Source organism: Homo sapiens, chromosome 14 (genome assembly GCF_000001405.40).
Source record: "Homo sapiens chromosome 14, GRCh38.p14 Primary Assembly".
Taxonomy (NCBI): domain Eukaryota; kingdom Metazoa; phylum Chordata; class Mammalia; order Primates; family Hominidae; genus Homo; species Homo sapiens.
Genome location: NC_000014.9, coordinates 39,458,194 through 39,472,285, shown reverse-complemented (window position 1 = coordinate 39,472,285; position 14,092 = coordinate 39,458,194). Strand labels below are relative to the sequence as shown.

The 14,092-nt window shown below is 35.7% G+C and overlaps 1 long non-coding RNA gene across 13 annotated transcripts in view, besides 1 other annotated feature; it reads right to left on the bottom strand.

Annotated features, from left to right (window-relative positions):
* LOC105370461 (uncharacterized) overlaps positions 1-14,092 on the bottom strand; it is a 433,650-nt gene that overhangs the window by 393,713 nt on the left and 25,845 nt on the right. For all 13 annotated transcript variants that reach the window (XR_001750723.2, XR_007064121.1, XR_007064122.1 and 10 more), the window contains exon 2: positions 1,886-1,968. This is a non-coding gene — a long non-coding RNA (uncharacterized LOC105370461). The remainder of the gene's footprint in view (positions 1-1,885; positions 1,969-14,092) is intronic.
* Positions 3,944-4,013: an enhancer, noted in NCBI's record as "active region_8291". NCBI's record gives its function as "activates an Ori minimal core promoter by ATAC-STARR-seq in GM12878 lymphoblastoid cells {active_cell/tissue: GM12878}" and the evidence as "EXISTENCE:reporter gene assay evidence [ECO:0000049][PMID:35858748]".

The window sequence follows — 14,092 nt, the reverse complement described above, 5'->3', positions numbered from 1 at the left end:
AGACAGTTTGGCAATTTCTTACACAACTAAACACACTCTTACCACATGATCCAGTAATTGCAAGCTCCTTGGTATATGCCCAAATGAGTTGAAAACTTACGTCTACACAAAAACCTGCATGTAGATGTTTATGGCAGCTTCATTCATAATTGCCAAACCCTGAGAACAACCAGGGTTGTCCAGTAGAGGAACAGATAAACAAACTCTGGTACATCCAGAGTTTGGAATATTATTCAGTGCTAAGAAGGAACGAGCTGTTAAGCCACAAAAAGACATGGAAGAAACAAATGTATATTACCACATGAACTACATGATATTTTGGAAAATGCAAAGCTGTAAGAGTTAGTAAAAAGATTTGTGGTTGTCATGGATATGAAGGTAAGGATAAATAGGCAGAGCACAGAGGATCTGGAGGGCAGTGGAACTACCTTATATGATACTATAATGAAGGATATGTGTCATTATACATTTGTCAAAACATATTGGTGTATTAATAGAATATACAACACCAAGAGTGAACCCTAATGTCAACTATTGACTTTGGGTGAGAATGATGTACCAAGGTAGGTTCATTGATGGTAAAAAAAAAAAAAAAAAAAAAAAAGTACCACTCTGGTCAGGGATATTGATAGTGTGGGAAATTTTAGGGAGAGAGGGGAATGGGGAGAATATAGGAACTTTCTACTTTCAGCTTAATTTTGTGTAAACTAAAACTGCTCTAAAAAAAATTTGCAACAAAAAACTGTGTGGATTTCTTGTTTATAATCCACTCCATTAGACAAAACCTGTACCCACAAATCTCTTCAAGATAAGTCCTAGAGCTTCCTATAAGGGTGCCGAGGGACAATGCTCTTAAAATTCTCAAAGGACTTTTTCTTTAATAAAGAGGATCTGTAAGGTATGTCATGTCCTTAAGATAATTAGAGAGACTACTGTCTGTGTGAGGCATGACATTAAATTTCCTGAGGTATTAGAACTAAGATTTTACAATCACTCCCTTGGCTTCATGATAAACCATGTTTTAATGACAGTACCCTAGATTTGCTCTCCTTCCATAAAGAATCTTCTTAATTTTAGAATTCTCTGCCGTCAGGAAAAACTGGAAAAGAGAAAGCTTTATTTTCAAGTCCAAGAAGTTCTGGCTCCTTTATATTTAACAATTATTTCTTTAGCTTACCTCTCTCCTATCATTTTACTATAAGCAGCAAGAAGAAGCCAGACAATCACCATTTTCTGCTTTTCACATTACCACAGGTGATAAGGTGGCCAAACTTCATGTCATTACCTAACAATGATCCTCTTTCCTCCAGCTCCAATGATATTTTTTCACTCTCCTCTAAACCCTCTCTGATAGCCTCCTTGAGGTCCATCAGCCTTCCACAGTCACCTGAAGGCCCTCTCACCTTCTGCCCTCTGTCTAGTCCTGCCTAATCCTGTCTAGTCTAGCTTCAGCCACTACCACATTTTAGATTTCTGTTACATGGCACTCACTTCCAGATAACAAAATCTGTTTTTATGATTGCATAACAAGTTCCTCCAAAATTTAGTGGCTTAAAACAACAATATTTATTTTTGTCAGGTATTTGCAATTTGGACAGGGCTCAGTGAGAATAATTCCTTTTTTTGCTCCACTCAGCATCGACTGGGGAAGCTTGAAGGCTGGAGACTAGAATCATCTGAAGGTTCATTCATATACCTGGTGGTTGAGTCTGGCTATTAGTTGAAACCTTAGCTGGGGCTATAAGCTGGAACATCTTCACTGGCCCCTCCATGTGGCCTGAGATTCCTCACAATTTCCAACAAGTCATGAAGTCACAGAGTGTTAATTCTTCAGCACTCAATTCATTGAAGCTGTTCAATTCAAGAGAATAGAAATGGATTTTACCTCTTGATGCAGGGAAGTGGCAAAGTTCTAGAAGATCATCAAGGGCTGGAAATATTGCTGTGGTCATTCCAGAGAAATGCAATCTATAAAACAAATAAAGATGCAGCAATCCTAAATAAAGTACAACTAAACAGAATCTAGCAACTTATCAAATGAATACTACCATATGATCAAGTAGAGTATACTCCAGGAATATAAATTACTTCAACACCAGGAACTACAGAAGTATAAATCATTAACTTTATCAATGAATTGGAAAATTGAAAAATATATCATAAATGAGATCATACACAAATGATAGATTTGGAAGAAAAGTATTAGGAACATACATGACAAATGATTAATAACTGTAACATATAAAGAATTCTTACCTTTCACAAGAAAAATATACAAGTCAATAGAAAATTAGGCAATGAATATAAATAGTCAATTTATTCTAAAGCAAGTACAAAAAAGAAAACATGAAAAGACCAAAGACTGGGGGAAAAAACAAGATGGCATAATAGAATCCTGCACCAATCATCCCCCTAACAGGAACACCAAATTTAACACCTATTTACACAAAAAAGTACATTCATAAGAAGCAAAAATCAGGTGAGCACTCACAGTACCTGGTTTTCACTTCATATTACTGAAAGGCACCATAAAGGGTAGGAAAGACAGTCTTGAATTGCCGACACCACACCTCCCTCCTCCCTGCCCCCATCCTCCAGCAGCAGCTGCATGGCACAGAGAATCTGTGCACTCAAGGAAGAAGGATGCAGCTATTGTGAGACATTGCATTGAACTTAGTGCTACCCTGTCATAGCAGAAAGCAGAACCAGTATGTACTTGGCTGAAGCCCACCCACAGAGGGAGCACTTGGACCAGCCATAGCCAGAGGGGAATCACCCATCTCAGAGGTCAGAATTTGAGTTCAGGCAAGCCTCGCCACGGCGGGCTGGAGTGCTCTGGGGCTCTAAATAAACTTGAAAGTCAGTCTAGGCTGCAATGACAGCAATTCCTAAGCAAGTCCTACTGCTGAACTGGCCTCAGAGGCAGTGTACTGGGGTGGGTGGGGCATGTGACCAATTGAGACACCAGCCAAGGCAACAAAGGGAGTGCTTGCACTACTCCCCCAAATCAAGGCTGCATAGCTCACAGCTCTGAAAGAGACTCCTTCTTTTTGGGGAGGGGAGGCGAAGAGAGGGGAGAATAAAGAGGACTTTGTCTTGCATCTAGAATACTAGCTCAGCCACCGTAGGAGAGGGCACAGTGGTAAGGCCCCCTTTCCAGGCCCTAGCTCCCAAATGACATTTCTAGGCACACCCTGGGCCAGAAGGAAACTTGCTGCCTTGAAGGGAAGGAACCAGTTTTGGCAGGACCCATCACCTGCTGACTAAAGAGCACTTGGGCCCTGAATAATCAGCAGCAATACCCAGGTAGTATTCCATGGGCCATAGGAGAGACACTGAGATGTGCTGGCTTTAGGTAAGACACAGCACATTCCCAGCTGTGGTGGCTATGGGGAGAGACTCCATCTGCTTGAGAAAAGCAGAGAAAAGTAAAGGGAGCTTTGTCGTGCACCTTAGATACCAGGTTGGTACTTCTGGACCTGCCCTGGTCCAGAGGGGATCCCAGCACCCTGAAGGATGAGTCTCAGACCTGGCAACATTCACCTCAAGCTAATTGAAGAGCCCTTGGGCCTTAAGTGAACATCAGTGGAAGCCTGGCAGCACTCCTCATAGGCCAGTGATGGTGGTGTCCACAGGGTTAGGATCCTCTGCCTGTGGAAAGTGGAGGGAAGAGCGGGAAGGCCTGCATCTCATGATTTGAGTGCCAGCTCAGCAGCAGTACAACAGAACACCAGGTAGATGTCTAAGGTTTTTTACTCCAGTACATGGCTCATGGATGACACCTCCGGACCCACCCGGGGTCTGGGGGAACTTGCCGCCCTGAAGGAAAGGACACAAGTCTGTCCCACTTTGCCACCTGCTGACTGTACCGCCCTAGAGCCTTGAGCAAACATAGGTAGCACCCAAGTAGTGGTTACTGCAGGCCTTCGGCAAGACTTCATGCTGTGCTGACTTCAGGTCTGACCCAGTGCAGTCCCAGTGGTGGTCACAGAGCTGCTTGTGTCACCCCCATCCCCAGCCACAGGTAGTTCATCGCAGAGACAGAAACTACTTTTGTTTGGGAGAAAATAAAGGAAGAGAACAAGAGTATCTGCCTGGTAATCTAGAGAAATGTCCTGGATCTTAACCAAGACCAGCAAAGTAGTACCTATACAAATCTACAAGAACCACAGCATTAGTGGCCTTGGGGTGCCCCCTAATGGAGATACAGCTTACATCACAACACCCAAGTCATTCTGAATACCTGTAAAGCCTTCCCAAGCAGGACAAGCACAAATAAGCCCAGACTGCAAGGACTATAAGTAAACACCTAACTCTTCAATGCCTGACGAACATCTACAATCATCACCACCACCCATGGAAAACATGACCTCAGCAAACCAACTAAATAAGGTGCCAGACATCAATCCTGGAGAAACACAAATATGAAACCTTTCAGAGAAAAAATTCAAAATAGCTGTGTTGAAGAAACTCAAAGAAATTCAAGATAACACAGAGAAGGAATTCAGAATTATATCAGATAAATTTAACAAAGAGATTTAAATAATTAAAAAGAATCAAGCCAAAGTACTGGAGGTAAAAAATCCAACTGACATACTGAATAATGTATCAGAGTCTTTTAATAGCAAAATTGATCAAGCAGAAGAAAGAATTAGTGAGATTGAAGATAGGCTATTTGAAAACACACAGAGGAGACAAAAGAATAAAAAAAAAGCATGCTTACAATATCTAGAAAACAGCTTCAAAAGGGCAAATCTAAGAGTTACTGGTCTCAAAGAGGAGGTAGAGAAAGAGATTGAGGTAGACACTTTATTGAAAGGGATAATAACAGAGAACTTCCCAAGCCTAGGGGAAAATATCAATATCCAAGTATGAGAAGATTATAGAAGACCAAGCAGATTTAACCCAAAGAATACTACCTCAAGGCAGTTAATAATCAAACTTTCAAAGGCCAAAGATTTAAAAAAAAAAGAAAAAAAGAAAAAAAAAGAACCTAAAAGCAGCAAGAGAAAAGAAACAAATAACATACAATGGGGCTCCAATACATTTGGCAGCAGACTTTCCAGTGGAAACCCTATTGGCTAGCAGAGAGTGGCATGACGTATTCAAAGTGCTGAAGGAAAAAAAAAATTTTTTGTTAGAATAGTATATCCAGGAAAACATCCTTCAACATAAAGGAGAAATAAAGATTTTCCCAAACAAAAGCTGAAGGACTTCATCAAAACCAGAACTGTCCTACAAAAAAAAGGTTAAAGGGAATACTTCAATCAAAAAGAAAAGGATATTAATGAGCAATAAGAAATCATCTGAAGGCACAAAACTTACTGGTAAGAGTAAGTACATAGAAAAAAACACAGAATATTATAACACTATAACTGTGGTATGTAAATTACTCTTAAGTAGAAACACTAAAAGATAAACCAATCAAAAATAATAGCTACAACTTTACAAGACAGACACTACAGTAAGATACAAATAAGAAAAACAAAAAGTTAAAAAGTGAGAGACAAAGTTAAGGTGTAGAGTTTTTATTAGTTTTCTTTTTGCTTATTTGTTTATGCAAACATTGATAAGTTGTTATCAGCTTAAAATAATGGTTTATAAGATAGTATTTGCAAGTCTCATGATAACCTCAAATCAAAAACCATACAACAGATATAGGAAAAATAAAAGACAAAAAATTAAATCATACCACCAGAGAAAATCACCTTCAATAAAACAAAGACAGGAAGGAAGGAAAGAAGGAAGACCACAAAACGACCAGAGAATAAATAACAAAATAGCAAGAATAAGAATGTATCAGTCTTTTAATATTACTATCAATAATAATGTTGAATGTAAATGGACTAATATCTCCAATCAAAAGACAGTGGCTGAATGGATGAAAAAACAAGGCCATGACCTGTTGCCTACAAGAAACACACTTCACCTATAAGGACACACATAGACAGAAAATGAAGAGATGGGGAAAATATTCCATGCCAATAGAAGGCAAAAAAGAACAGGAGTAGCTATACCTTTATCAGACAAAATAGTTTTCAAGACAAACACTGTAAGAAGAGACAAGGAAGGTCATTATATAAAGAGGTCAATTCAGCAAGAGGATATAACAACTGCAAATATATATGCATCCAACACTGGAGCACCCAGATATATAAAGCAAATGTTATTAGGGCTAAAGAGAGAAATAGGCCCCAATACAAAAATATGTGGAGATTTCAACACCCCACTTTCAGCATAAGACAGATCTTCTAGACCAAAAAAAAAAATCAACAAGGAAACATCGGACTTCATCTGCACCACAGAACAAATGGACCTCATAGATATTCACAAAACATTTCATCCACAGGCTGCAGAATACACATTCTTTTCCTTAGCACATGGATCATTCTCAAGAACAGACCATATGTTAAGTCACAAAACAAATCTTAAAACATTCAAAAAATTGAAATAATATCAAGCATCTTTTCTGACCACAATAAAATAAAACTAGAAATCAACAACAAGAGGAATTTTGGAAACTATACAAACACATGCAAATTAAACAACATGCTCCTGAATGACCAGTGTGTCAATGAAGAAATTAAGAAGGAAATTGAGAAATTTCTGGAAACAAATGATAATAGAAACAACATACCAAAACCTATGGGATACACCAAAAGCAGTACTAAGAGGGAAGGTTATAGTTACAAGTGCCTACATCAGAAAAGAAGAAAGACTTCAAATAAACAACGTAATGATGCATTTAAAGAACTAGAGAAACAAACACAAACCAAACCTGAAATTAGTTGAAGAAATAATAAAGATCACAGCAGAAATAAATGAAATTGAAATGAAAAAAAAAGATTAATGAAGCAAAGAGTTGGTTTTTAGAAAAGTTAAACAAAATTGGTAAATCTTTAGCCAAGGTAAAAAAAAAAAAAAACAGAGAGAGATGACCCAAATAAATGAAATCACAGCTGAAAAAGGAGCTGTTACAACTGATACCACAGAAATTCAAAGAATCATTTGTGGTTATTATGACCAACCATATGAAAATAAGATGGAAAATCTAGGAAAAAAAATGGATAAATTCTTAGATACATACAATCTAACCAAGACTGAAGCATAAAGAAATCCAAAATCTGAAGAGACTAATAATAAGTAATGAGATTGAAGCTGTAATAAAATTCTCCTAGTAAAGAAAAGCCTAGAATCTGATGGCTTCACTGATGAATTCCACCAAACATCTAAAGAGGCACTTGTATCAATCCTACTCAAACTATTCCAAAAAACAGAATAGAAAAGGGTACTGCCAAATTCATTCTAAGAAGACAGGATTACCCCAATACCAAAACCAGACAAAGACACAGCAAAAAAAGAAAACTACAAACTGATATCACTGATTAACAGTAATACAAAAATCCTCAACAAATACTAGCAAACTGAATTCAACAGCACGTAAAAAAGATAATTCATCATGACCAAGTGAGATTTATCACAGGGATAAAACAAGAACAAGGACCAAGAGTGGTTCAACACACACAAACCCAAATTAATCAATGTGCTACATCATATCAACAGAATGAAGGACAAAAACCATATGATCATTTCCATTGATGCTGAAAAAGCATTTGATAAAATTAAACATCCCTTCATGATAAAAACCCTCAAAAAACTGGGTATAGAAGAAAAATACCCCAACACATTAAAAGCCATATGTGACAGACCCACAGCTAGTATCATACTGAAAAAAAAAACTGAAAGCCTTTCCTCTAAGATCTGGAACATGACAGGGACGCCCACTTTCACCACTGTTATTCAACGTAGTACTGGAAGTCCTAGCTGGAGCAATCAGGCAAGAGAAAGAAATAAAGGGCATCCAAATGGAAAGGAAGAAGTCAAATTATCCATGTTTGCAGATAATATGATCTCATATTTGGAAAAACCCAAAAGCTCCACCAAAAAAACTATTAGAAATTATAAACAAATTCAGAAAGTTGCAGGATGCAAACATATAAAAATCAGTAGCTTTTTTATGTGTCAATAGAAAACAATCTGAAAAAGAAATCAATACCACTTAAAATAGCTACAAATAAAACAGAATACTTAGGAATTAGCCGAAGTGAAAGATCTCTACAATGAAAACTATAAAATATTGATGCAAGAAACTGAAAAGGACACCAAAAAATAAAGATATTCCATGTTCACAGAAGAATCAATATTGTTAAAATGTCCATACTACCCAAAGCAATCTACAGATTCAATGTAATCCCTATCAAAATACCAATGACATTCTTCACAGAAATATAAAAAACAATTCTAAAATTTATTTGGAACCACAAAAGACCCAGAGTAGCGAAAGCTATCCTGAACAAAAAAAACAAGCTGGAGAAATCAAATTATCTGACTTCAAATTATACTAGAGCTATAGTAATCAAAACATCATGGTACTGGCATGAAAACAGATACACAGAACAGTGGATCAGAATACAGAACGCAGAAATAAATCCATACATCTACAGTGAACTCACTTTTGACAAAGGTGCCAAGAATATACATTGGGGAAAGGACAGTCTCTTCAATAAATGGTTCTGGGAAAACATATGGATATCCATATGCAGAAAAATAAAACTAGACCCCTATCTCTCACCATACACAAAAATCAAATCAAAATGGATTAAAGATTTAAATCTAAGACTTCAAACTTTGAAACTCCTACAAGAAAACACTGAAGAAACTCTCCAGGATATTGGAATGAACAAAAATTTCTTGAGTAATACACCACAGGCACAGGCAAGCAAAGCAAAAATGAAAAAATGAGAGCACATCAAGTCAAAAAGCTTCCGCACAGCAAAGGAAATGAAGAGACAACCCACAGAATGGGAGAAAATATTTGCAAACTACCTATCTGACAAGGGATTAATAGCCAGAATATATAAGAAGCTCAAACAGCTCTATAGAAAAAAAATCTAATACTCTGGTTAAAAATGAGCAAAAGATCTGAATAGACATTTCTCAAAAGATGATATACAAATGTTAAACAGGAAAAAGTGTTCAACAGCACTGATCATCAGAGAGCTGCAAATCATAACTACAATGAGATATCATTTCACACCAGTTAAAATGGCTCTTATTCAAAAGACAGGTTAATAACAAATGCTGGTGAGGATGTGGAGAAAAGGGAACCCTTATATACTGTTGGTGGGAATGTAAATTAGTACAACCACTATGGAGAACGGTTTGAAGGTTTGTTGAAAAACTAAAAATAGAGTTACCATATAATCCAGCAATCCCACTGCTAGGTTTATACCCAAAATAAAGGAAATCAGTATATCGAAGATATATCTGAACTCCCATGTTTATTGCAGTACTATTCACAATAGCCAAAATTTGGAAGCATCCATCAACAGACAAATAGATAAAGAAAATGTGGTACATACACACAATGGAATACTATTCAGCCACACAAAAGAATGAGATCCTGTCATTTGCAACGACTAGGATGGAACTGGAGGTTATTACGTAAAGTGAAATAAGACAGGTACAGAAAGACAAACATTGCATGTTTTCACTTATCTGTGGGACCTAAAAATTAAAATAACTGAACTCATGGAGCTAGAGAGTAGAATGATGGTCACTAGAGGTTGGGAAGCATAGTGAGGAGGTATGGGGGAGAAATGGGGATGGTTAATGGGTACAAAATATAGACAGAATGAATAAGAACTCCAATTTCCTAGCACAACAGGGTGACTATAGCACAAAAAAAACGTAATTGTACATTTTAAAGTAACTAAAAGCACATAATTGGATTGTTTGAAACACAAAGGGGAAATGCTTGAGATGCTTGATACCCCATTTACCCTGCTGAGATTATTACACCTTGCATGCCTGTATCAAAATATCTCATGTAACCTATAAATATATATAACTACTATGTAGCCACAAGAATTAAAAAGTGTAAAATGAAAAAAAAAACACCAATGAGTCCTTTTTCCAATTTAAACCTCTTAAAATATAAAAAGATTTATGTTAGGAATTTGAACTTTTATCATAAGGTATGTAATTTACTACATTAACTCTAGTAAATGGATGTATTATATTAAATATCTGTGTGAATTGTGAAAAAAAGAAAAAAAGAAACTCAACTCACTGATAGAGAAATACAAAATAAAGCAATGAGAAATCCCTTTATACCTGTCAGATTGGTAAAAATTAAAAAGACCTATAAAACCTAAAATGGTGGGATATGTGTAAGACGGTTCTCCTACATTGCTAGTGACAATGTGAAGTATTACAGAATTTTTGGAAAGCAATCTTGCAATCTATTAAAAATTAAATTACAGCCGGGCGTGGTGGCTCACACCTGTAATCCCAGCACTTTGGGAGGCTGAAGCGGGCAGATCACGAGGTCAGGAGATCGAGACCATCCTGAGCAAAATGATGAAACCTCATCTCTAACACACACACACACACAAAAATTAGCTGGCATGGTGACACACGCCTGTAGTCCCATCTACTTGGGAGGCTGAGGCAGGGGAATCACTTGAACCCGGGAGGCAGAGGTTGCTGTGAGCCAAGATTGTGCCACTGCACTCCAGCCTGGCAACAGAGCAAAACTCCATCTCAAAAAATTAATTAATTAATTAATTAATTACAGATACATTCCTATCTAACACCCCTTTCCTAGAAATCTATACAACTGAAATACAAGCCCCAGCATTTGAGGACATACATACAAGAAAGAAGAATTGGTGATTTTAAAGCCTACATAATATTCCCTATACCAGGGGAATTTAAATTTAAATTTTAAAGCCTACATGATATTCCCTACACCAGGTGATTTTAAAGCCTACATAATATTCCCTACACCAGCCTATACCAGGGAATATTAGGTAGCCTTTAAAAACAATGAACCAGAGCTAAACCATATCTTGGCAGGATTTAATGAAATATTGTTGAAAAAAAAATGCAAGATGCAGAAAGGTACACAGAAATAATTTTATTTTTGTAAAAACAATAACCACTGTACTGTAAATGAAGTTTACAGAGTCTGTTTTAACCACCATATGTATCACCTTTCACTCTCATTATGATTGTATATGCATAAAGAAAAATAGGGAAAGACACACTCTGGTTGTTAATATGGATTATGAAGTGAGGAGAGAAAGGGCAGAAGAAAGCAAAGGAAAAAGGAAGAGATGAGGAAAATGGAGGGGAAATTTTGCTCTGAAAAATAAACATGAAAGATATGATCAAGTTAATGCATTATATAAAAATAAAGATGGTTATATTTATTTTAAAAGTAATTAAAAATAAAGGCATACTCAATTTTCAGTGATGGGAAATTTTATTATCCTGGTGAAGAAACCTCACTGAGGGAAAAATTTTATTATTTCTATGCTATATATAGCAAGTAAATACCTCTATATACCTGCCAAGACTTCCTGAATACAGCTTTTGAAAATAACAATCTGTCTAACTTTTACATATCAAATAGATAGATAGGACTATTAATGTCTATTAACTGTTACATACCAAATACATAGCTAGGACCATTAATGTCTATAAATTAGAAAGGATACAAAGAAGGTATATGGAAGTCTTAAAAGGAGGTATCAAAAGTCCATATGCAAATGAATGGGCTTACAATCTGTTCCTTATTAAAATAATGACCAGCCTCTAGTACTGATTATGGGAGAAAGGGAGAAGAATTACAGTTTTATGGTGTTCCTGTTTGCCTGTTAGTTTAGCACATTCTGTATTAATATTAAGGTTTTGTTAACAAAATACCTGTAATTGATTATATTTGTGTACTGAAAATCTCAAATGACTCTTTAAAATACTCACTGATGACTACTTGTTCTACATTAACATCATTATCAAGTTATGTTGATAATATTCCTCACCATTTTAAAGAAAAGCAAACTTGGAGAGATTACTTGAACTTCTCAAAATAAAACACATATTTTACTGTTGTTCTGTAACCTGAATCTTGCTCAGCTGACTCCAGATACTCTTTGCACCACATGAAGTTGGCAGTATTGTTACAGATGATTGCATAATACAGTTAATGTGTGTTATATAAAAATGAGGGGAAAATTATTAATTTTGTATATAAATTGTCCTTTTCTTGTTTCAGTTACTCATTACCATATAAAAACCATCCCAAATTTAAAACATAAAGCAACCACCATTTCACTGTGGGTCTCACAGATTATGTGAGTCAGGAATTCGGAAAGGGTACAGCAGGTTGGCTTATCTCTGTTTCACAATGTCTGGGGCCTCAGGTGGGAACACTTGAAGGCTGAAAGTGACTCAAGAGCTGGGAGCTGAAATCACCTAGAAGTTCATTCATTCATATGACTGGTGGTTGATGTAGCTGTAAGCTGGGCTCTCAGCTGGGACTGTCAGTATTAATACCTACATATGGCCTCTCCATGGGCTCTTTGGACTTGCTCACATAATGGTGTCTAAGTTCCACAAACCATGTATCCAAGAAGAGAAGCTATATCATCATTTATGATATAGTCTTGGAAATCACATAGTGCCACTTCTGCTATAGTCACACTCCCACCCAGATTCAAGGAGAGAGAACAGAGACGCTACCTCTCAGTATAAAAACGCTACCTCTCAATATAAAAAGTTCAAAGTTATACTGTAAGAAAACCCAGTGGAATAGGAGTTATGGTTGTGTTCATTTTTGGAAAACACAATCCATGATACTTGTTAATTAAAGATAGTAACTAGCATGCTAAGTACACAGTATCAAGTAAGACATATTGCCTTAATACTAAATGAATAATACTTGATTAGAGAACAATTTTTAAAATCAATAATCCATAAAAAGCAATAAAAGACAAACCAGATTATCATATTATCAGCTGATGAAAACAAGTCAAATAAAATTCAGCAGTTATTCCTAATAAAAACTTTAAGAAATATAGGCCTAAAAGAAAACTATATAAATATGATAGTCTATTCACCACAGCCTACAGAAAATATACTAAACAATAAAACACTAAGTCATTTCAATTAATGTCAGGAAGCAAATAATAGAGTTCCATCACACAGGGATTTTGTCCTTTTTGTTCATTATTGAATCTCTAGCACCAATAAAGCACTTGACACACAAAAACGTGCTCAAGAAATTTTTGCAGAATAAATTGTTTTAAAAATATGAAAAAAGGGGGCAAAGGTAACAAAAAAAGCATGATAAAGAGAAATTAGACCAAAAATGAAGTAATTTATATGGACACTGAAAAGGAAATTAATGATTACATGATTATATATTTAGAAAATATACCAATGAAAGCATCCTGATTTAATAATAAGAATTTGGTAAGATGACTACAGTAAAGTTAAATTTAGAAAAATCAAGAACTTTTTTGTACTTGGAACCAGTAACCAAAAGAGGAAAAGGTGAAAATTTTTCCTCTTACAATAACAGCTAAAACTATAATAGGGGTACAGTAGTAATAAATGTAAACAAGGAAAACACAGAACCTATATGAAGAAAACAAAATCTTAACCTACATGAAGAAAACAAAACCTAATAATGTTATAACAGTTATTGTTATTTAGCCATGGAACACTGGAAAGACATAAATTGTAAAATTCATGTCAAAATTTATATGAATTCTCAAAATTCATATAAATCAAATGTAGTATTTTGTTCGTTTAATAAAATTATGTTAAAATTCATATGAAAGAAAAAATGCCTGAGAATACTCCCAAAAAGTATAAAATATAAGAAGGGTAAAGAGGGACAAACCTAATCAGACACATATAATAAAGCCTCTGCAATCAAATCAATAGGAAAAGTGGTTTGGGATTGAGCAAACAGACCATGGAAAGAGTAGCGAATACAAAAATAGATACCAGTATACAGGAGAGTTTTATATACAAAAATTCATTGGGAAAAAATAGCGTAATAAATGAGGCTGGTTATACATATGGAGAAAAGAATGGTTAATTTGATAGTGTTTGTTATCTATATGGAAAAAAAATACTGGAATGTGATATCAAACTATGTTCCAAAATTCCAGGTGGATTAAAGATTTAAATATAAAAAATTTTGGAACAATACACCCTAAATTTTTCCAAGCAAGAG